General features: G+C 39.8%; 1 protein-coding gene and 1 pseudogene across 8 annotated transcripts in view; one reads left to right on the plus strand and one right to left on the minus strand.

Annotated features, from left to right (window-relative positions):
• Positions 1-19,224, minus strand: part of CD99L2 (CD99 molecule like 2) — a 132,333-nt gene that overhangs the window by 26,370 nt on the left and 86,739 nt on the right. For 6 of the 8 annotated variants that reach the window (NM_134446.4, NM_031462.4, NM_001242614.2 and 3 more), the window contains 3 exons: positions 2,713-2,781; positions 2,501-2,584; positions 986-1,051 (listed from right to left, as the gene is read on the minus strand). The exons of 1 other annotated variant lie outside the window; for it this stretch is intronic. In NM_134446.4, the coding sequence (NP_604395.1) occupies positions 986-1,051; positions 2,501-2,584; positions 2,713-2,781 (219 nt within the window). The remainder of the gene's footprint in view (positions 1-985; positions 1,052-2,500; positions 2,585-2,712; positions 2,782-19,224) is intronic. One more of the 8 variants, NM_134445.4, reaches the window with a different exon arrangement.
• LOC124905294 (uncharacterized) lies at positions 18,569-18,679 on the plus strand (annotated as a pseudogene).

A 19,224-nucleotide genomic window follows, 5' to 3' on the forward strand; every position in this document is an offset into this window, starting at 1 on the left:
TTACAACCAGGGTTACCACAATTTACCATCATAACATGTTGCTATCACAACAGATTATAATCACAAGTTACAATCACGACAGGTTACAACCACAAGTTACAATCACTAGCCTGCCTTGCCACATCAACAAATCTGGCTAATATTCCCTCCAGACTTGATGTATACTATGATAAAAGGTTGAAATCTTTGGTAGTTTGGGGAATTAACACTATCTGGCCTTGGGGAGGACATGACTATTCTGGGGTAACATGAGGGAACTTCTTTGTGGCGATGGAACAGTTCTGCCTGCTAATTATGGTAATGGTTACTCAAATCTACACACATAACATTTTATAGACCTACCCATACTCGCTCACACACGCATATCTGAATGCATGCAAAATCTGATGAAATCTGAACAAGGTCTGTAGCTGACTTAACAGTACTGTACTAATGTTGACTTCCTGGTTTTGACAATGACTATGGTTATATAAGGAGAAGCTAGGTGAAGTATACACATGAACTCTCTTGAACTATTTTTACAACTTCTTGTGAGAACCATTTCAAAATAAAAAGGTATTTTAAAAGATATCTGACTTGCTATGGGTCTCTTAAAAAAAATGCTCGTCATGATGACTTTGCTCCTCCCATCCCAAGAGTGAGTGAGTCTCTTGAGGTTGAGAGGGCTGCTTTCAGAGTCCACTGGCCCCCAGTTATTATCATTGGTGGTGTTGCCTTGGCAAATAGGCTTCAGCCAGCATGAAACGTTAACCTATCAGCACTGCTGCTTAAGGAACATCAGGGGAAATGTGGGGCTTTTCCAAGATGGCTTATAAATCCCCCCCTTGAACTGCATGGCTCACATCATTCCAAATGAACCCCAACTGGCAGGCTGGGATGTCTGGGAACTACCACTCATTTCCCAGAGGCTCAATTAATCTGGTTGCTGCATAATCACCTTTTTCACCAGAATAAGGGTTGTGTTGGCACAAATCAATGCTCCTACCTTTACCCTTGTCAGGTTTGTATTCTCCACCCCCTACTATGTCTTCAAGATCCTTGTCTGAAAAACCTGGAGAAAATAAAACATACATTTCAACAACAAGAAAAAAAAATCAGCAACAAGAAACTTGTGCTAATGTTGCCCAAAATTCAGAAAATGATTCCCAGTTCCACTTAAGAATGCCCTTCATGAAATTCTAAGAGGTCCCCCCAGACCCCCTCCCACTGGTGTACATGTCCCGCATAATGTCCCACCACTCTGAGTGTGAGTGGAACCATGGATAGGATGGCTATATCACTCCCGTGATTAGGTTAGATTACATGCCAAAGGTGAAGGGATTTTGCAGAGGTGATTAAGGTACCAAATCAATTTGACTTTGCATTCATCAAAAAGGAGATTATCCTAGATGGGCATGACTTAATCAGGTGACATCCTCAAAAGCAGGTTCAGGCCTTCTCTGAGCTCAGACATGAGAAGCAACAGAGTCGGTCGGTCTCTCCTCCTTTCTCCCCCTACCAACCCGTCTGTTGGTCATTCTCCTGCTAGTCTTGAAGCAGCAAGCAGTCATTATTCCTATAGCTGCAAGGGAATGTACTGTCAACAAGCAATTGAGCTTGGAAGGGAACCCAACTTCAGACGAGACCCCAGCCCTCACCAACACCTTGACTGCAGCTATATGAGCTCCTGAGCAGAAAACTCAGCTTAGCTGTTCCTCAACTCCGGACCAAAGGAAACAGTGGGATAATAAATGGGTGTTGCCTTAACTCAGAGTTTCTGATTTTTGTTATGCAGCAAGGAAACTGACACAAGGAAGCAGAAAATTTATGAACGGGTAAAAGGTCCACTGAAAGGACAAGATAGTCCCACGGAACCAAGTGTGGAAAGTTCACTGATAAGAGTTTCACACTCCACACTACGCTTAACCTGTAACAAACAACCGCTTTTGTTGGGGCCAAGTTTTGGTGTCCTATCCGAGAAGATTATCCACAAGGATCTGAAAAGTCTGTGAAAATATTCCTCCCTTTCCCCACTGCCTATGGGTGTGAGGCCAGATTTCCTTCATATACTTCAACCAAAACAACATCTCACGATGGAATAAAGTGCCTGTGAGAAGCCAGCTGCTTCCATCCAGCCAGACATGAGAGAAATCTGCAAAAATGTAACAGCGTGCCGCTCTCCTCAATACAAGTTTTTGTCTTGCCAAGCATAGTTATTTCTCATAAAAATGTTATTTATGTTAAATGTATGGGTTTAATGTTGTTCATTTTAGATTGATTAATAAAGTCTTTCAGTTTTAAATTCTAAGATGATGAGTATTGATAAACGTGACCCACATAAGCAAAATCTCTCTTGAGATCTCAATGATTTCAGGAGTCCCCAGACCAAAAAAGTTTGAGTACCACCATTATAGGGTTCTCCAGTGGCTTGAAGTGCCTCCAGCTCTGCCAGGCCCAAGCTGGCTCTGGCTCTGTGGGATGATGTAATTAATGAGACAGAACCAGACCAGGTGGGACTCACCTCCTCCTCCAGCAATTGGTTTCCTGCGGCCATCATCTCGATCATTTCGATCATCCAGGGCATCAGCCAAGTCAAAATCATTTCCTTCATGGGGTCCCAAAATAAAAGAAATACTCAATTAGTTCATCTATGGGTAGCTCATTTGGATCCTGTCTCAGAGGGAGCCCCATGGGATCCTTGCCTTACTACTCTCCTCAGAGCGGCCACCTTACCTAAAGTATTTGCTGGAGCTCTGGTGGTTACTGGCCTCTTGGTCGTGGTGGTTACATGGTTCCATCTCTCTAAAAGGGGAAGGGAGGACAGCAAAGGGAGCACATTTAGGAACAAAATGCAGCAGCCATTCATGGCTCAGGGAAGTCACATCATGAATATTCTTGTCTTGGTCCTTGAGGCTCCTATAGGACCTCTGCAGAATCACTTTGAGACGGATGACAAAGAGATATAAAAGGCTTAAATGAGGTGGGTTCTGTTCACTTTTCTTCAGGGGATGGGGGTTATGAGGCAGACATAGTCCCACATGTGGCCAGGTAAGTGGCAAAGCTGGGACTTGAGCCCAGATCTGCGGGAGATGACCACATGGACCGAGGAGTTCTAGAGCTTGAGCTCCAAGCCTTGGTTCCACCACTGTCAACCTGGCACTTGAACTATAGCTAATCCTGCCCAGGGATGGACAGATTGAGGATGCATTCCCAGTGGACTGTGGTAGTATCTTATACACGGAAAGTGCTTACAACACACACATATATAATTTTATATAACTGTGGTTACTATTATAAACATCAGGTCTCTGGGCTCAACCAGATTCCTTTCAAATATGGACTTCTTTCACACCAATTACACAGATGGCATTCATGAATTTTCCAAATGATTCTTCTCTTGAACTTCAGAAGACTGTGCTGTAACTGTTCCCACTATTGAAGTTAATAGAGGGAAAAGACAGAGACAGTGCTGTATACAGCAAGCACCTGGGAGAGAAACAGCGATGTATCTGGGGAAAAAACCTAAATGAGTTTTACAGAGCAATAATGTGATATCCAAACTGCCTAGGGACATTTAAAATGTATTGCCTATCATTTTTCGATAGACCTTTGGTGTTGTCTGTGGATCAAAGAAATGTAGGTCTGAATCTTCTGCAAAGAAAATACAAAAACAATACAGTAAGTCAAGTCATAACCCAACAGTTCTCAGATGGAATGAAGAGGGATATTATAAAATGATAAAAGGATCAATCCACCAGGAAGACGTAACAATCCTGAATGTGTGTGCACCTAACAATAGAGTGTCTAGACACATTAAGTAAAACCTGATAGAGCTAAAAGGAGAAATAAGCAAATGCACATTTATAGTTGGGGACTTCAACACTCCACTCTCAGCAATTGGTAGAACTACTAGACAGAAAATCTACAAGGATATTGAAGGAGTGAACAATAATCAACCAATGGGATTTAATTGGCACAACAGGACACACCAGCCAATTACAGCAGAGTAAACAATTGTTTAAGCACTCACAGAATATTCACCTGAGATCATATTCTGAACCAGGAAATAAACTTCAACAAATTTAAAAGTATTGAAATTATGCAGAGAGGTATCATTGATTATACTTAATTCAAATTAGAAACAGAGAAGAAACAACAGAAAACAAGAAAATCTCTAAACATTTGGATATTAAACAACATATTTCTAAATAAAACAAGGGTCAAAGAAAAAGTTTCAAAGGAAATTTTAAAAAATACATAGAACTGTGTGAAAATGAAAACACAACATAGCAAAATATGTGGGATCTAAAGCAGTGCAGAGAGAAGTTTATAGCACTCAATGCATAAGTTAGACATGAAGAAGAGCCTCAAATCAATAATCTAAGTTACTAATTCAAGATGCTAGAAAAAGAAGCTAGCTAGATACTAGAAAAACAAAACCAAAGCAAGCAGATGGAAAAAATAAACACAAGAGCAGAGATCCATGAAACTGAAAATAAGAATGCAATACTAAAAAAAAATCAATAAAACCAAAAGTTTATTTATACAGTAAAAAGGGATAAACCGCTAGCCTTACTAACAAACATAAAAGTTAAAAAAGATGATATGCCAATAAAAGGACTGAAATGGGACACTGTAGATCTTGTAACCATTAAAAGAATAATAATGGAATAATATGAACATTTTTTAGCTCACATATTTGACAACTTGGAAGAAATGGACCAATTTCTCAAAAACCACCAACTATCAAAATACAACCTAATCCTGTGTTCATGGATTAGAAGACACTAAATTGTTAAAATGGCAATGCATACTATCTAAAGCAATCTACAGATTCAATGGAATCCCTACCAAAATCCCAATGACATTTGTTGCAGAAATAGACAAATTCATCCTAAAATTCACATGGAATTTCAAGGAATCTCAAACAGCCAAAACAATCTAGAAAAAGAACATAGAAGAGTCACACTTCCTGATTTTAAAACTTACTACAAAACTACAAATATCACAACACGTGTGGTACTGACATCAAGAACAGACATACAAACCAATGAAATATAATAGGAAGCCCAGAAATAGGCCGGGTGCAGTGGCTCACGCCTGTTATCTCAACACTTTGGGAGGCTGAGGCAGGTGGACTGCTTGAGCCCAGGAGTTCAAGGCCAGCCTGGCAACATTGTGAAATCCCATCTCTACAAAAAATACAAAAAATTAGCCAGGTGTGGTGGCGTGCACCTGTGGTTCCAGCTACTTGAGAGGCTGAGATAGAAAGATTGCTTGAGCCCAGGTGGAGGCTGCAGTGAGCCGTGACCACACCACTGTACTCCAGCATAGGCGACAGAATGAGACCCCGTCAAAAAAAAAGAAGAAGAAGAAGGAGAAGAAGGAGAAGGAGAAGAAGGAGGAGAAGGAGGACAGAACACAGGAAGGGAGGGAGGGAGGGAGGAAAGGAAGGAAGGAAGGGAGGGAGGGAGGGAGGAAAGGAAGGAAGGAAGGAAGGGAGGGAGGGAGGGAGGGAGGGAGGAAAGGAAGGAAGGAAGGAAGGAAGGAAGGAAGGAAGGAAGGGAGGGAGGGAGGGAGGGAGGGTGGGAGAACAAAGGGAGGGAAGAAGGGAAGGAAGGGAAAGGGGAGAAAGGAAAGGAAAAGGGAAAGGAAAGGAGGAAGGAAGGAAGAAAGCAAGCCCAGATATAAACCCTTGCATATACGGTCACTAGATTCTCAACAGTATGTCAAGACCATTCGATCGGGGAAAGGACAGTCTTTTCAACAAATGGTGCTGGGAAAATTGGATAGCCACATGCAAAGGAATGACTTCGGACCCTGACCTATACTACATACAAAAATTAACTCAAAATAGATAGAAGATTCTTAGACATGGTGGCATGAAAAAAAGAAATAGTTCAAAGACCTAAATATAAAAGCTAAAACTATAAAACTCTCAGGAGAAAATATTATGAAAAAGTTTCATGATACTGGATTTGATGATGATTTCCTGGATATGATACAAAAGCACAGGCAACATCAACAACAAAAACAAAATAAATAAATTGATCTTCATCAAAATTTAAAACTTTTTTTGAGACAGGGTCTCACTCTGTCACCCAGGCTGGCTGGAGTGCAGTGGCACAATCATGCCACTCAGTGCAACCTCCGCCTTCCAGACTCAAGTGATCCTCTTATCTTAGCCTTCTGAGTAGCTGGGACTACAGGCGTGCACCACCATGCCCAGCTAATTTTTGCATTTTTTGTACAGACAGGGTTGCCCCATGTTGGCAAAGCTGGTCTCAAACTCCTGGACTTAAGCCATCCACTTGCCTTGGCATCCCAAAGTGCTGGGATTATAGGCATGTGCACCATGCTCAGCCTAAAATTAAAAACTTTTGTGCATCAAAGGACAATATCAAGAGAGTAAAAAGATAACTCACAAGAATGGGAGAAAATATTTACAAATCTTACATCCAATAAGGGATTAATATCCATACTATATAAAGAACTTATACAAGTCAACAACAACAAAAACCCTGATTTTAAGGCTAGGCACAGTGGCTCATGCTTGTAATCCCAGAACTTTGGGAGGCTGAGGCAGGTGGATTACTTGAGTCCAGAAGTTCAAGACCAGCCTGGACAACATGGTGAAACCCTGTCTCTACCAAAAAAAAAAAAACAACAACAAAACACAAAAATTAGACAGGTGTGGTGGCACACCTGTAGTCCCACCTCCTCAGGAGGCTGAAGTAGGAGGACTGCTTGAGCCCGGAGATGGAGGTTGCAGTAAGCTGAGATCATACCACTGCACTCCAGACTGGGTGACAAAGCAAGACCCTGTCTCAAAAAAAAAAAAAGGAAAAAAACCAAAAAAGTGGTTTTAAAATGGGCAAAGGACTTGAATAGACATATCTTCAAAGAAGATATACAAATGACCAATAAGCACATGAAAAGCTGCTCAGTGTCACTAGTCATTAGGGATATGCAAATAAAAACTGCAATGAGATACCAGTTTGCACCCATTGGGATGGCTATTATTAAAAGAAAAATGAAAAATTACAGGTATTGGTGAGGACATGAAGAAATTGGAACCCTGGTATATTGCTGGTGGGAATGTAAAATGGTGCAGCTGCTGTGGAAAACAGTTTGGTACTTCCTCAAAATGTGAAACAGAGTTACCATATGATCCAGCAATTCCACTTCTAGGTCCATACCCATATGAATTGAAAGCAGAGACTCTAACAGAAATCTGTACACCAATGCTCCTAACAGCATTATGCACAACAGCCAAAAGGTGGAAACAACACAAATGGCCATCAACATATAAATGGATAAGCAAAATATGGTATATACATATAATGCAATATTATTCAGGCTTAAAAGAAAGAAACTCTGGTACATGCTGCAACATGGATAAACCTGGAAAACATTACATTAAGTGAAATAAACCAGACACAAAAGAACAAATATTGTGCAATTCTGCTTATAAGAGGTACCTAGAATGGGCAAATTCTTAGAGACAGAAAGTATAGCAGAGGTTACCAGGGGCTAGGAGTAAGGAGAAATGAGGAGTTACTGTTGTAGGGGTATAGGGTTTCTAGCTGGGCTGATGAAAAACTGTTGGAAATGATCATGGTAACAGCTGCATAACATTGTGAATACCGATGATCCTCCATATCCATAGGTTCCACATCCAGAATCATGTGTTTGACCAACCATGGATCAAAATATTCAAAGAACAAAAAACAAAAAATAATACAACTATAAAAATAATATAAATTTTTAAAATACAGTATAATAACTATTTACATAGCATTATATTGTATTAGGTATTATAAGTAATCTGGAAATGATTTAAGCTATATGGGAGGATATGTGTAGGTTACATGCAAATACTATGCCATTTCATATCAGAGAATTGAACATCAAAGGATTTTGGTATTTGCAGGGGGTCCCAGAACCAATGCCCAGCAAATACTAAAGGAGGGACAAATGTCTACTAAGTACCACTGAATAATACAGTTAAAAATGGTTAAAACAGTAGATTTTATATGTATACTTACCACAATAATAAAAAACTCAGCTGGGTGCAGTGGCCCACACCTGTAATCCCAGCACTTTGGGAGGCCGAGGTGGGTGGATCACCTGAGTCAGGAGTTCGAGATCAGCCTGACCAGCATGGAGAAACCCTGTCTCTACTAAAAATATAAAATAAGCCGGGTGTGGTGGTGCATGCCTATAATCCCGGCTACTCGGGAGGCTGAGACAGGAGATTTGCTTGAACCTGGGAGGCGGAGGTTACAGTGAGCCGAGACCACGCCATTGCACTCCAGCTTGGGCAACAAAAGTGAAACTTCGTCTCAAAAAAAAAAACAAAAAAACCCCAAAAAAACAAAACCTCAACCTCCAGGACTTGGTGATTTACCTGGAGAGTTCTACCAAACATTTAAAAAGGAATTATCACCAATTGTATACAATCTCTTCCAGAAAGGAGACAAGAGGAAATACTTCCCCACTCATTTTGTAAGGCCAGTATTACCCTGGTAACAAACACAGATAAAGACCTGTATTAGTTCGTTTTCACACTGATATAAAGATACTGCCTGAGACAGGGTAATTTATAAAGAAAAGAGGTTTAATTGACTTACAGTTCCTCATGGCTGGGGAGGCCTCAAAAAACTTACGATCATAGTGGAAGGCAAAAGGGAGATTGGCATCTTCTTCACTTCACAAGGTGGCAGGAGAGAGAGAGGAGCAAAGCGGGAACTGCCAAACACTTTAAAAATCATCAGCTCTTGTGAGAACTCACTCACTATCGTGAGAACAGCATGGGGAACCATCCCTATGATCCAATCACCTTCCACCAGGTCCCTCCCTAGATGCCTGGGGATTACAATTCGAGATGAGATTTGGATGGGGACACAGAGCCAAACCAGATCAAGACCTTATTAAAGAAAAAAAAAACATATAGACTAATGTCTCTCATCAATTTACATGCCAAATCTTCAACAAAATATTAGCAAACAGAATAGAATGTATAAAGAGAATTAAACAGCATGAAAAATGGAATTTATTCCAGTCAGGCAAGTTGGATCAATACTTGAAAATCAACGTAATCTACCCTGTCAACAGGCCAAAGAAGACAAATCACATATCAATGGACATGAAAAAATCTAACACTCATTTATGGAAAAAAAATACTTTCAGCAAATTAGAAATAAAGGGGAACTATCTCAACTTCATAAAGAACATCTAGAAAACACCTATAGCTATCGTCAGACTTAATGGTGAAAGACTGAATGCTCTTTCTTTAAGGTCTGAAACACCAAGGACATCACTCTTACCACTCTTATTTAATATGGTACTGAAATGTCTAGCATTGCAATATGAAAAAATATATACAGATTGGAAAGGAAGAACTATATATGTTTCTATTTGCAGATGACATGATCATGTACATAGAAAATTCCAAGAAATCTACAAAAAATTTCTAGAATAAGTGAGTTCAGCAAGGTCTCAGGATACAAGTTCAACAATATTGATCACATATCATAGCAGTGAACATATCAAACCCAAAATTAGCCATTCACAATTGCTCCAAAGAAAATATTTAGGATGGGACGGTGGCTCACGCCTATAATGCCAGCACTTTGAGAGGCCAAAGTGGGCAGATCACCTGAGCTCAGGAGTTTGAGACCAGCCTGGGCAACATGGTGAAATCCCATCTTTACTAAAAATACAAAAGTTAGCCAGGTATGGTGGTATGTGCCTGTAGTCCCAGCTACTTGGGAGGCTGAGGTGGGAGAATCTTGCTTGAGTCAGGGAGGTGGAGGCTGCAGTGAGCCAAGATCACACCACTGCACTCCAGTCTGGGCAGCAGAGCGAGACTCAGGCTCAAAAAAAAGAAAAGACAATTTTTTTTTTTTTTTTGAGACAGAGTCTCGCTCTGTCGCCCAGGCTGGAGTGCAGTGGCGTGATCTTGGCTCACTGCAAGCTCTGCCTCCCAGGTTCACGCCATTCTCCTGCCTCAGCCTCCTGAGTCGCTGGGACTACAGGCACCTGCCACCACGCCCAGCTAATTTTTTGTATTTTTAGTAGAGACGGGGTTTCACCGTGTTAGCCAGGATGGTGTCGATCTCCTGACCTCGTGATCTGCCCGCCTTGGCCTCCCAAAGTGCTGGGATTACAGGCGGGAGCCACCGTGCCCAGCCTTTTTTTTTTTTTTTTTTTTTTTTTTTTTTTCTGAGACAGAGTCTCACTTTGTCGCCCAGGCTGGAGTGCAATAGCGAGATCTCAGCTCACTGCAAACTCCACCTCCCGGGTTCAAGCAATTCTCCTGCCTCAGCCTCCTGAGTAACTGGGATTACAGATGCGTGCCACTACACCCCGCTAATTTTTGTATTTTTATTAAAGACAGAGTTTCACCATGTTGGTCAGGCTGGTCTCGAACTCCTGACCTCGTGATCTGCCCGCCTCGGCCTCCCAAAGTGCTGGGATTACGGGCGTGAGCCACCATGCCCGGCTAGAAAAGAAAATATTTAAACATACATTTAAACATGTACCGGATCCTCTATACCAAAATTTACAGTGTTCTCAAGAAAAGACATCAAAGAAGACATAAATCAATTGAGAGACATACCGTATTCATGGATTAGAAGACTCCACAAAGTAAAAATGTCAACTGTCCCAAAATGGATCTATGTTTAATACACATCCTATCATAATCCCAGTAAGTTTTTTTCTAGACTAGGCAAAGACAAACTTAATCTAAAATTATATGAAAAGGCACAGGCCCTAGAAGAACCTTAAAAGAACTTGACAAAGCAGAATAAAGTGGAACAAATCACTCTAACCAATATTAAAGCTGAATTTATAGTTATAGTAATCAGGACTGTGGCAGAGGGACAGACAGACAGATCAATCAAACAGAATGAAGAGCCCAAAAAGACCCCAAATACACTCAAGTGATTCTTGATAAAGGTACAAAAGCAATTTGATAAAGCATAGTCTTTTGAACAAACGGTGCTGGAGTAATTGGGCATCAATAGGTAAAAACAATGAATCTCAACCTAATCCTCACACCTTATTAAAAATGAGCTCAAAATGGATGATCATCTTTACTTAAATATAAAGTTATGAAACTTCAAAAGAAAACATAAAAAAAATCTTTGGGACTGAGAGCTTGGTAAAGAGTTCACACAATTGACAACAAAGCCACGTTTCATAAAAAGAAAAATTGATACATCCACCTTGTGAAAATTAAAACATTTCCTCTGTAAAAGACCTGTTTAAGAAGATGAAAATATTCCATTTTCAACAATGGACAAGTCATCCAGACAGAAAAATCAATAAGGAAACAGCGGGCCAGGACAACACTCTAGACCAAATGGACCTAACAGACATACACAAAACATTCTATCCAACAGCAGCAGAATTCACATTCTTTTCAAGCACACATGGAACATTCTCCAGGATAGGTCACATGTTAGGTCACAGAAAAGGTCTTAATAAATTTAACAAGATTGAAATCATATCAAGTGTCTTTTCCACCCACAATGGTACAAAACTAGAAGTTTGAACAGAGAATTGGAAAATTCACAAATGTGTGGAAATTGAACAACATTCTCCTGAACAACCAACGGGTCAAAGAAGAAATCAAAAGGGAAATCAAAAAAATTTTTGAGACAAATAAAAATAGAAACACAACATACCAAAACTTATGAGATGCAGCAAAAGCAGTCCTGAGAGAGAACTTTATAGCAATAAATGCCAACCTAAACAAAAAACAAAGATCTCTCCAGGCACGGTGGCTCATGCCTATAATCCCAGCACTTTGGGAGACCATGGTGGGCAGATCACGAGGTCAGGAGTTCGAGAACAGCCTGGCCAAGAGACCAGCCTGGCCAACATGGTGAAACCCCATCTCTAGTAGAAACAGATGAAATAAGTAACAGAAGAACAATAAAGTCTATAAAAACAAAAGATGGTTTTTGAAAAGATCAACAAAATTGACAAACCTTTAGCAAGATTGACAAAGAAAAAGAGAGAGGACTCATTACTGAAATGAGAAATGAAAGAGAGGATATCACTAATGACTTAATAGAAATAAAAAAGGATTTTAAGGGAATATCATTGACAAAAGTATGCCAATAAATTGGGCAGCCTAGATGAAATGGACAAACTCCTGGAAAGATATAAACTACTGAAGCTGACCCAAGAAGAAATAGAAAATCTGGCCAGGCGTGGTGGCTCATGCCTGTAATCCCAGCACTTTGGGAGGCCGAGGCAGGAGGATCACCTGAGCACATGAGTTCGATACCAGCCTAGGCAACATGGTGAGACCCTGTCTCTATTAAATTAAATAAAACAAAATAAAAATAAAACTAAAACTCTACTAAAAATACAAAAATTAGCCAAGTGTGGTGGCAGATGCCTGTAATCCCAGGAGGCGGAGGTTGCAGTGACCTGAGATGGCGCCATTGCACTCCAGCCTGGGCAACAGAGCGAGACTCCGACTCAAAACAAACAAACAAACAAACAAACACAAAGATCTCAAATAAACAACCCAGCTTTACAACTCAAAGAAAATTAGAAAAAAAACCAAAACTGAACTCATAGAAGCATAGAGCAGAATACTGGTGGCCAGGGGCTGGGGTGGGGAGTAGGGAGATGCTAGTCAAAGGGTGCAAAGTTTCAGTTAGACAGGAGGAATAAGTTCTGGAGATTTATTATAGAGCAGGGTGACTATAGTTAATAATAATATATTATATACTCAAAAATTGCCAAGAGAGTAGATCTTGAATGTTCTCACCACAAAAATATGTTGGTAATGTCTTAACAAACTAAACCTATAACAACCACACAACCCAGCACTCACACAACTTAGCATTTATCCCACAGAAATGAAGAGTCATATTCACATAAGAACGTGTATGTAAGTGCTTATAATAGTCAAAAACTGGGAGCAACCCAGATGACCTCCAAAAAGCGAATGGTTAAACAAACTATGGTACGTCCACACCATGAAATACTGTTCAGTGAGGAAAAGCAACAAATTATTGATATATACGGTGACTCGGAAGGATCTCAAGGGAATTATGTTGAGTGAGAAAAGCCAGTCCCAAAACAGTATATACTCTGTGATTCCATTTTTGAAATTGCCAAATGCTACAGATGGAGAACAAATTAATGGTTGTCAGGGGTTAGAGACAGGCAAGGAGTGGGTGGCAAGAGGGAGTGTCTGTGTTTATAAAAGGGCAACAAGAGGGATCTTTGTGGTGATGAAATAGTTCTGTCTAGACTGTCATGGTAGATACACATACCCACACAAGTGATAAAACTGCATAGAAGTAAACACACACACACACTCAGTAGAAGTAAAACTGAGGAAATCTGAATAAGATCACCAGACTATATCAATGTCAATATCTTGGTTGTGATCTTATACTATAGTTTTGCAGGATGTTACCACTGGGGGAAACTGGGTATGGGGTGCATAGGATCTCTCTGTATTATTTCTTACAACTTCATGTGAATTTACAATTACCTCAAAATTAAAAGTCAAATTACCACGATTTGAGCATCAAGGTAATTTCGTGTTTTTTGAGACTGGGTTTCACTCTGTCACCCAGGCTGCAGTGCAGTGGCACGATCATAGCTCACCACAGTGTAGAACTCCCAGGCTCAAGTGATTCTCCCACCTCAGCCTGCTGAGCAGCTGGGACTACAGGCATGCACCACTACGCCCAGCTAATTTTTTCATCTTCTGTAGAGACGGGGTCTTGCTAAGTTGTCCAGGCTTATCAAGGTAATTTCTGATGCAAAAAAAGGTCTGACATGCAAATGGCTGGTCTGCAGAGACTCAGGAATATCTATTAATTGACACTAAAAATAAAACAACAAATCATGTAGACCTGACTTCGGAAAAATGGCAGTAGAAGGCCGGGCGTGAAGGCTCAAGCCTGTAATCCCAGCACTTTGGGAGGCCGAGGTGGGCAGATCACCTGATGTCAGGAGTTCAAGACCAGCCTGGCCAACATGGTGAAAACCCGTCTCTACTAAAAACACAAAAATTAGCCGGGCGTGGTGGTGGGAGCCTGTAATCCCAGCTACTTGGGAGGCTGAGGCAGGAGAATCGCTTGAACCCTGGAGGCAGAGGTTGCTATGAGCTGAGACCATGCCATTGCACTCCAGCCTGGGCAACAAGAGCAAAACTGCACCTCAAAAAAAAAAATGACACCGGATAAGAACATCTAGGAATGAGATGGTATACACAGGCAACTTTCCAGAGAACTAAAGCTTGTTCCTTCCTATGGCCAATGGTTTGTGTAACACTGATAACCTTCCAGATAGCAAATCTTTACAGAGCAATAGTAAATCTTTACAGAGCAAATAATACAGTTCTGTCACTTTGACATGAGTATACAGAATACCACCTTTCTTGGGGCCCTGAAGTTACAACTTTTCTGTTATTGCACTGTGCTTACCTCTTAAAGAGAAGTCCCTTTTTCAGCTTTCTAGATTTTTTAATCTAATCTTCCATTCAGTAGGAGAGCTGCCAAGCAGACCAGCAGGCACTATATATCAAAGCTTGTACTTTTGATTTTGAGGTATTCCAACAACTCTTTGGGGCAGGTTGACCTGTTCATGAATAGAGGATTTTCCAGGGTTTCTTTGGCCAAAGCACACCAATTGACCCTAAACTCGTCTTTTGGGTCATCAGTACCTTCTCTATGCAGACACTTCTCATGGCAACATGTTGTAGAAGAAAAGGCCCCCAAGGTAAAGCCAGGATCCCTGCACTTCAGGCCAGTTGTGCTGCTGGCTTGCAGCGCGACCTTGGACAAGTCCCTCTCATCCAAACAATGAGGGGAAAGGCCTCTCTAGTTCTCCAGTTCTAATCTAGAGTTCTTCCTCATTAGTAAAGATCACTTTAATTTTTAAGGTTTATTATAAAGGTAATACTTGCTCAATATAAAAAATACCCAGTGGTGTAGATTATAAGAAAAAAAGGCAGCCTCAAATCTATCCCAAGAGGGGGCTGCTCTGTACCTTTTCAGATCTGCCTGCAGGCCTGTGTGTGTGTGCTCACATCCACTTATATTTGATAGAAATTGATTCATACTACATACATCCTGTTCTGTGACTTGCCTTTTTCATGTCAGTTCCAGAGCTCTACCTTATTTTTTGCAATGGCTTCAGAGTATGAATGGTTTAGAATCTGTATATTTCACTAGTGGGATTTAAGGGTGTTTAATTTTTGGCTGGTACAAAACACAAGAAATCACAAACATCATTTAAAATGTACCACTGCACACATGCATACGTATACCTACAGGGAAAATGCTTTGAAGTAGAACTGCTCATTCAAATATTTTACTAAACTGCCCTCTCAAAAGGCTGCATTAATTTATATTACTTTCTACAGAAGTAAAACTGAAAAGGTGTAGCTTCATACAACAAAAGACATCTAAAGCAACCTTCCTGCCTGCTGTAGCACCACAATACATGATTGCTGTACACTGATATCGAAAACATCACTGACCTGAATGAAAACATACTGATGCCACATGGCTGTGTAAGGTCATCTCCACAAATGGTTGTTCTCAAAGAGTGTTTCAAGGACCCCTGGGCTCCATAGATTATGAAAAACTATTTTCATAATCATGCTTTTATGGGGTTGGCACTTGCACTGTGGTGCAAAACCAACAATGAGTAAACCTGCTGGCCCTTAGCATGAACCGAGGCAGTGGCACCAAATGGTACTAGGAGTCATCAGATTCTTCACCACTATACAATGGCAGTTGAAAGAGAATGCCAGTCTTACTTAAGCATGTCCTAGATAAACATGGTAGACAGAATTCTAAGATGGCTGGCAAAATTCCCACCCCCAAGGTATACACCCTGCATAATCCTCACTCATGAGCATGGGAGGGACCCATGAATAGGCTGGATATAACTGCTGTGATCAGATTATGACATAGCAGAGGTAAATGGATTTTGCAGATGCACTTAAGATGTCTTTGACGGGACTCTGAATTACTCAAAAGGGAGATTATTCTGGGTGATTCTAACATAACCAGGTACAGCCTTGAAAAGAGGGGTTTTACGCCTTCCCTGAGAAGACACTACAGGCAGCAGAAATTTTTGTACACTTGCCAATAGTAAAGAAGGAAGCAGCCGCGAGTTCCGTGATTATCCTGAATTATCTGGGTGGGGCCAGCAAAATCATAAGAGTCCTTATAAGGGAAAGGAAGAGCAGGAGAGTCAGAGAAGGAGATATGATGATGGAAGCAAAGGTAAGAGTCAGAGAGAGATTTGAAGCAAAGGTAAGAGTCAGAGAGAGATCTGAAGATGCCACACTGCTGACTTTGAAGATGAAGGAAGTAACCACAAGCCAAGAAATGCAGGTGGCCTCTATAAGCAGGAAAAGGCAAGGAAATAAATTCTCCCCTAGAGTCTCCAAAAGGAATGGAGCCTGGCTAGCACCTTGATTTTAGCCCAGGAAGACCCAATTTTGGATTTCTGACCTCAATGATTATAAAATAACAAGTTTATGTTGTTTAAGCAATCAAGTTCATGGTAACTCATTACAAAAGCAATATGAAGTAATATAATATCAAACTTCAGACAAGACCCCTAGCCCCAGATGACATCTGAATTGCAACCTTGTATAAGACACTGAGCAGAGGACCCAGCTACGTAGGACCCATACTCCTGACCCAGGGAAATTATAAGAGTGAATGAATACTACTTTAACTTGCTAATTTTATGGTAACATGTTATAAAGCAATACAAAATAAATATCAAAAAGCAGAAAAATAATTTTATTAGAGCTCAACCATGAGACTGGTGGTGATATTAGCAAACATGAGTTTTGAGTATTGGATAAGGAAAAGTGTCATCATTCAGAAACAACACAACTCACTCAGGGCATCAGTATTTTCCAAACAACCTGTACAGGATGTTACAAAATGGTGAATGGACAAAAGATCCATTCATAAGATAAAATAGTCCAATGGGGTTCAATAGTAATGAATGGGGAAAGGTCACTGATGTTACTTAACCTTAAACAATAACTTGCCAATTTTGATGTCTAAATGTGCATTTGAACATTAATAAAAACAAGAGAAAGTGGGAGTGGTTATATTAATATCAGATAAATGAGATGTCATAGCTAGGAAAATATTTTAGACAAAAAGTAACACAACACAATGATAAAAGAATCAATCCACTAGGAAGACATAATGATCCTAAATTTGGATGTATCAAAAAACAGAGACTCAAAATATATGAAACAAAAGTTGATAGAGCTAAAGGGAGAAACAAATCCATAATTATCGTTGGGGAAATTCCATACCCTATTGCCATCATTAATTGGATTAGTGGACAAAAAATTCACCAAAGATGTACAACTGACCAATACAATAACTATCGAAATCGAAGTGACATATAGAGAACATTCCACCCAACAACAGCAGAATTTGCATTCCGCTCAAAGGCACTGGGAACATTCTCCTGGATAGACCTTCTGATATGCCACAAAACAAGCCTTAATAGATTTAAAAGAATTAAAAGCAAAGAAAGTGTGCTCTCCAATCATAATTGGAAATCAATGACAGAAATAAATTAGGGAAATTCACAAATATGTGGAAACTAAACAACACACACCAAAATAACCAATAGGTCAAATAAGAAATCAGAAGGGAAATTTTAACTTTGAGAAGAATGTAAACAAAAACACAATCCACAAAAACTTATGAGATACAGCAACAGCCATGTTTAGAAGCAAATTTACTACTGTAAAGGCCTATAGTAAAAAAGGAGAAAGATTTGTAATCAGTAGCCTAACCTTTCACCTCAGAAACCAGAAAATGGAAACCAAACACAGAGCAAGCAGAGTGAAGGAAGAAAAAAAGATGAGAATAGAAGAAAAATATATGAAAGTAGAAAAAAATGAAATAAATAACAGAAGAACAATAAAGTCTATAAAAGCAAAAGATGGTTTTTGAAAAGATCAACAAAATTGGCAAACCTTTAGCAAGACTGACAAAGAAAAGGAGAGAAGACTCATTACTGAAATGAGAAATGAAAGAGAGGATATCACTAATGACTTAATAGAAATAAAAAGGATTTTAAGGGAATATCATTGACAAAAGTATGCCAATAAATTGGGCAGCCTAGATGAAATGGACAAACTCCTAGAAAGATACAAACTATTGAAGCTGACTCAAGAAGAAATAGAAAATCTGGCCAGGCGTGGTGGCTCATGCCTGTAATCCCAGCACTTTGGGAGGCTGAGGCAGGAGGATCACCTGAGCGCAGGAGTTGGATACCAGCCTAGGCAACATGGTGAGACCCTGTCTCTATTAAATTAAACAAAATAAAAATAAAAATGAAACTCACCAATAAAAACACAATAACCCAATTTAAAATGGACAAAGGATTTGAATAGACATTTCTCCAAAAAACATAAACAATATTCAATAAAGCACATGAAAAGATATTTGATTTCATTAGCATTAGGGAAATGCACATCAAAACCACAATAAGACAATAAGACACAACTTCACGCCCACGAAGATGACTGCAATAAAAGAGACTTAAGACTCTACTTTCAGGGATCATTTCTGTAGTTTGTTATTAGAGAAGATTCTCTGAAGGTGTAGAGCATCAAAAATAAAATAAAATTTTAAAAAGGAAATAGAAAATCTGAATAGACCTATAATAGATAGAATTAATAATACAAAAAACTTCCCCAAAAGAAAAGCCCAGAGTCAAATGCCTTCACTGATAAATTCTATAAAATATTTAAATAATTAACAGCAATTCTTCAGTAACTCTTCCAGAAAATAAGAGGAGACAACACTACCTAAATAATCCAATGAAATCAGTAGTGCACTGATATGAAAACCAGACAAAGACATCACAAGAAAAACTACAAACCTATTTCTGTTAGTAATATAGATGCAAAAATCCTCAACAAAATATAAGGATACCAAGTGCAACAAAAACAGTTATATTCCAAATGATTTTTTTAAGGCTCAAAAACAATTCAACGGGCAGATAGTCTTTTTAACAAATGGTCCTAGAACAATTAGACATTCACAGGCAAGCAAGCGAAGTTTCAGGAAAAAAAACATAGGAGAAAATCTATAAAACCTAGGTATAGGCAAAGAGTTCTTAGACTTGGCATCAAAAGCATGATCCAGGCCAAGTGCAGTGGCTCATGCCTGTAATCCTAGCACTTTGGGAGGCTAA

This window comes from Homo sapiens, chromosome X, assembly GCF_000001405.40.
Source record: "Homo sapiens chromosome X, GRCh38.p14 Primary Assembly".
In the NCBI taxonomy this organism is placed as follows: Eukaryota; Metazoa; Chordata; class Mammalia; order Primates; family Hominidae; genus Homo; species Homo sapiens.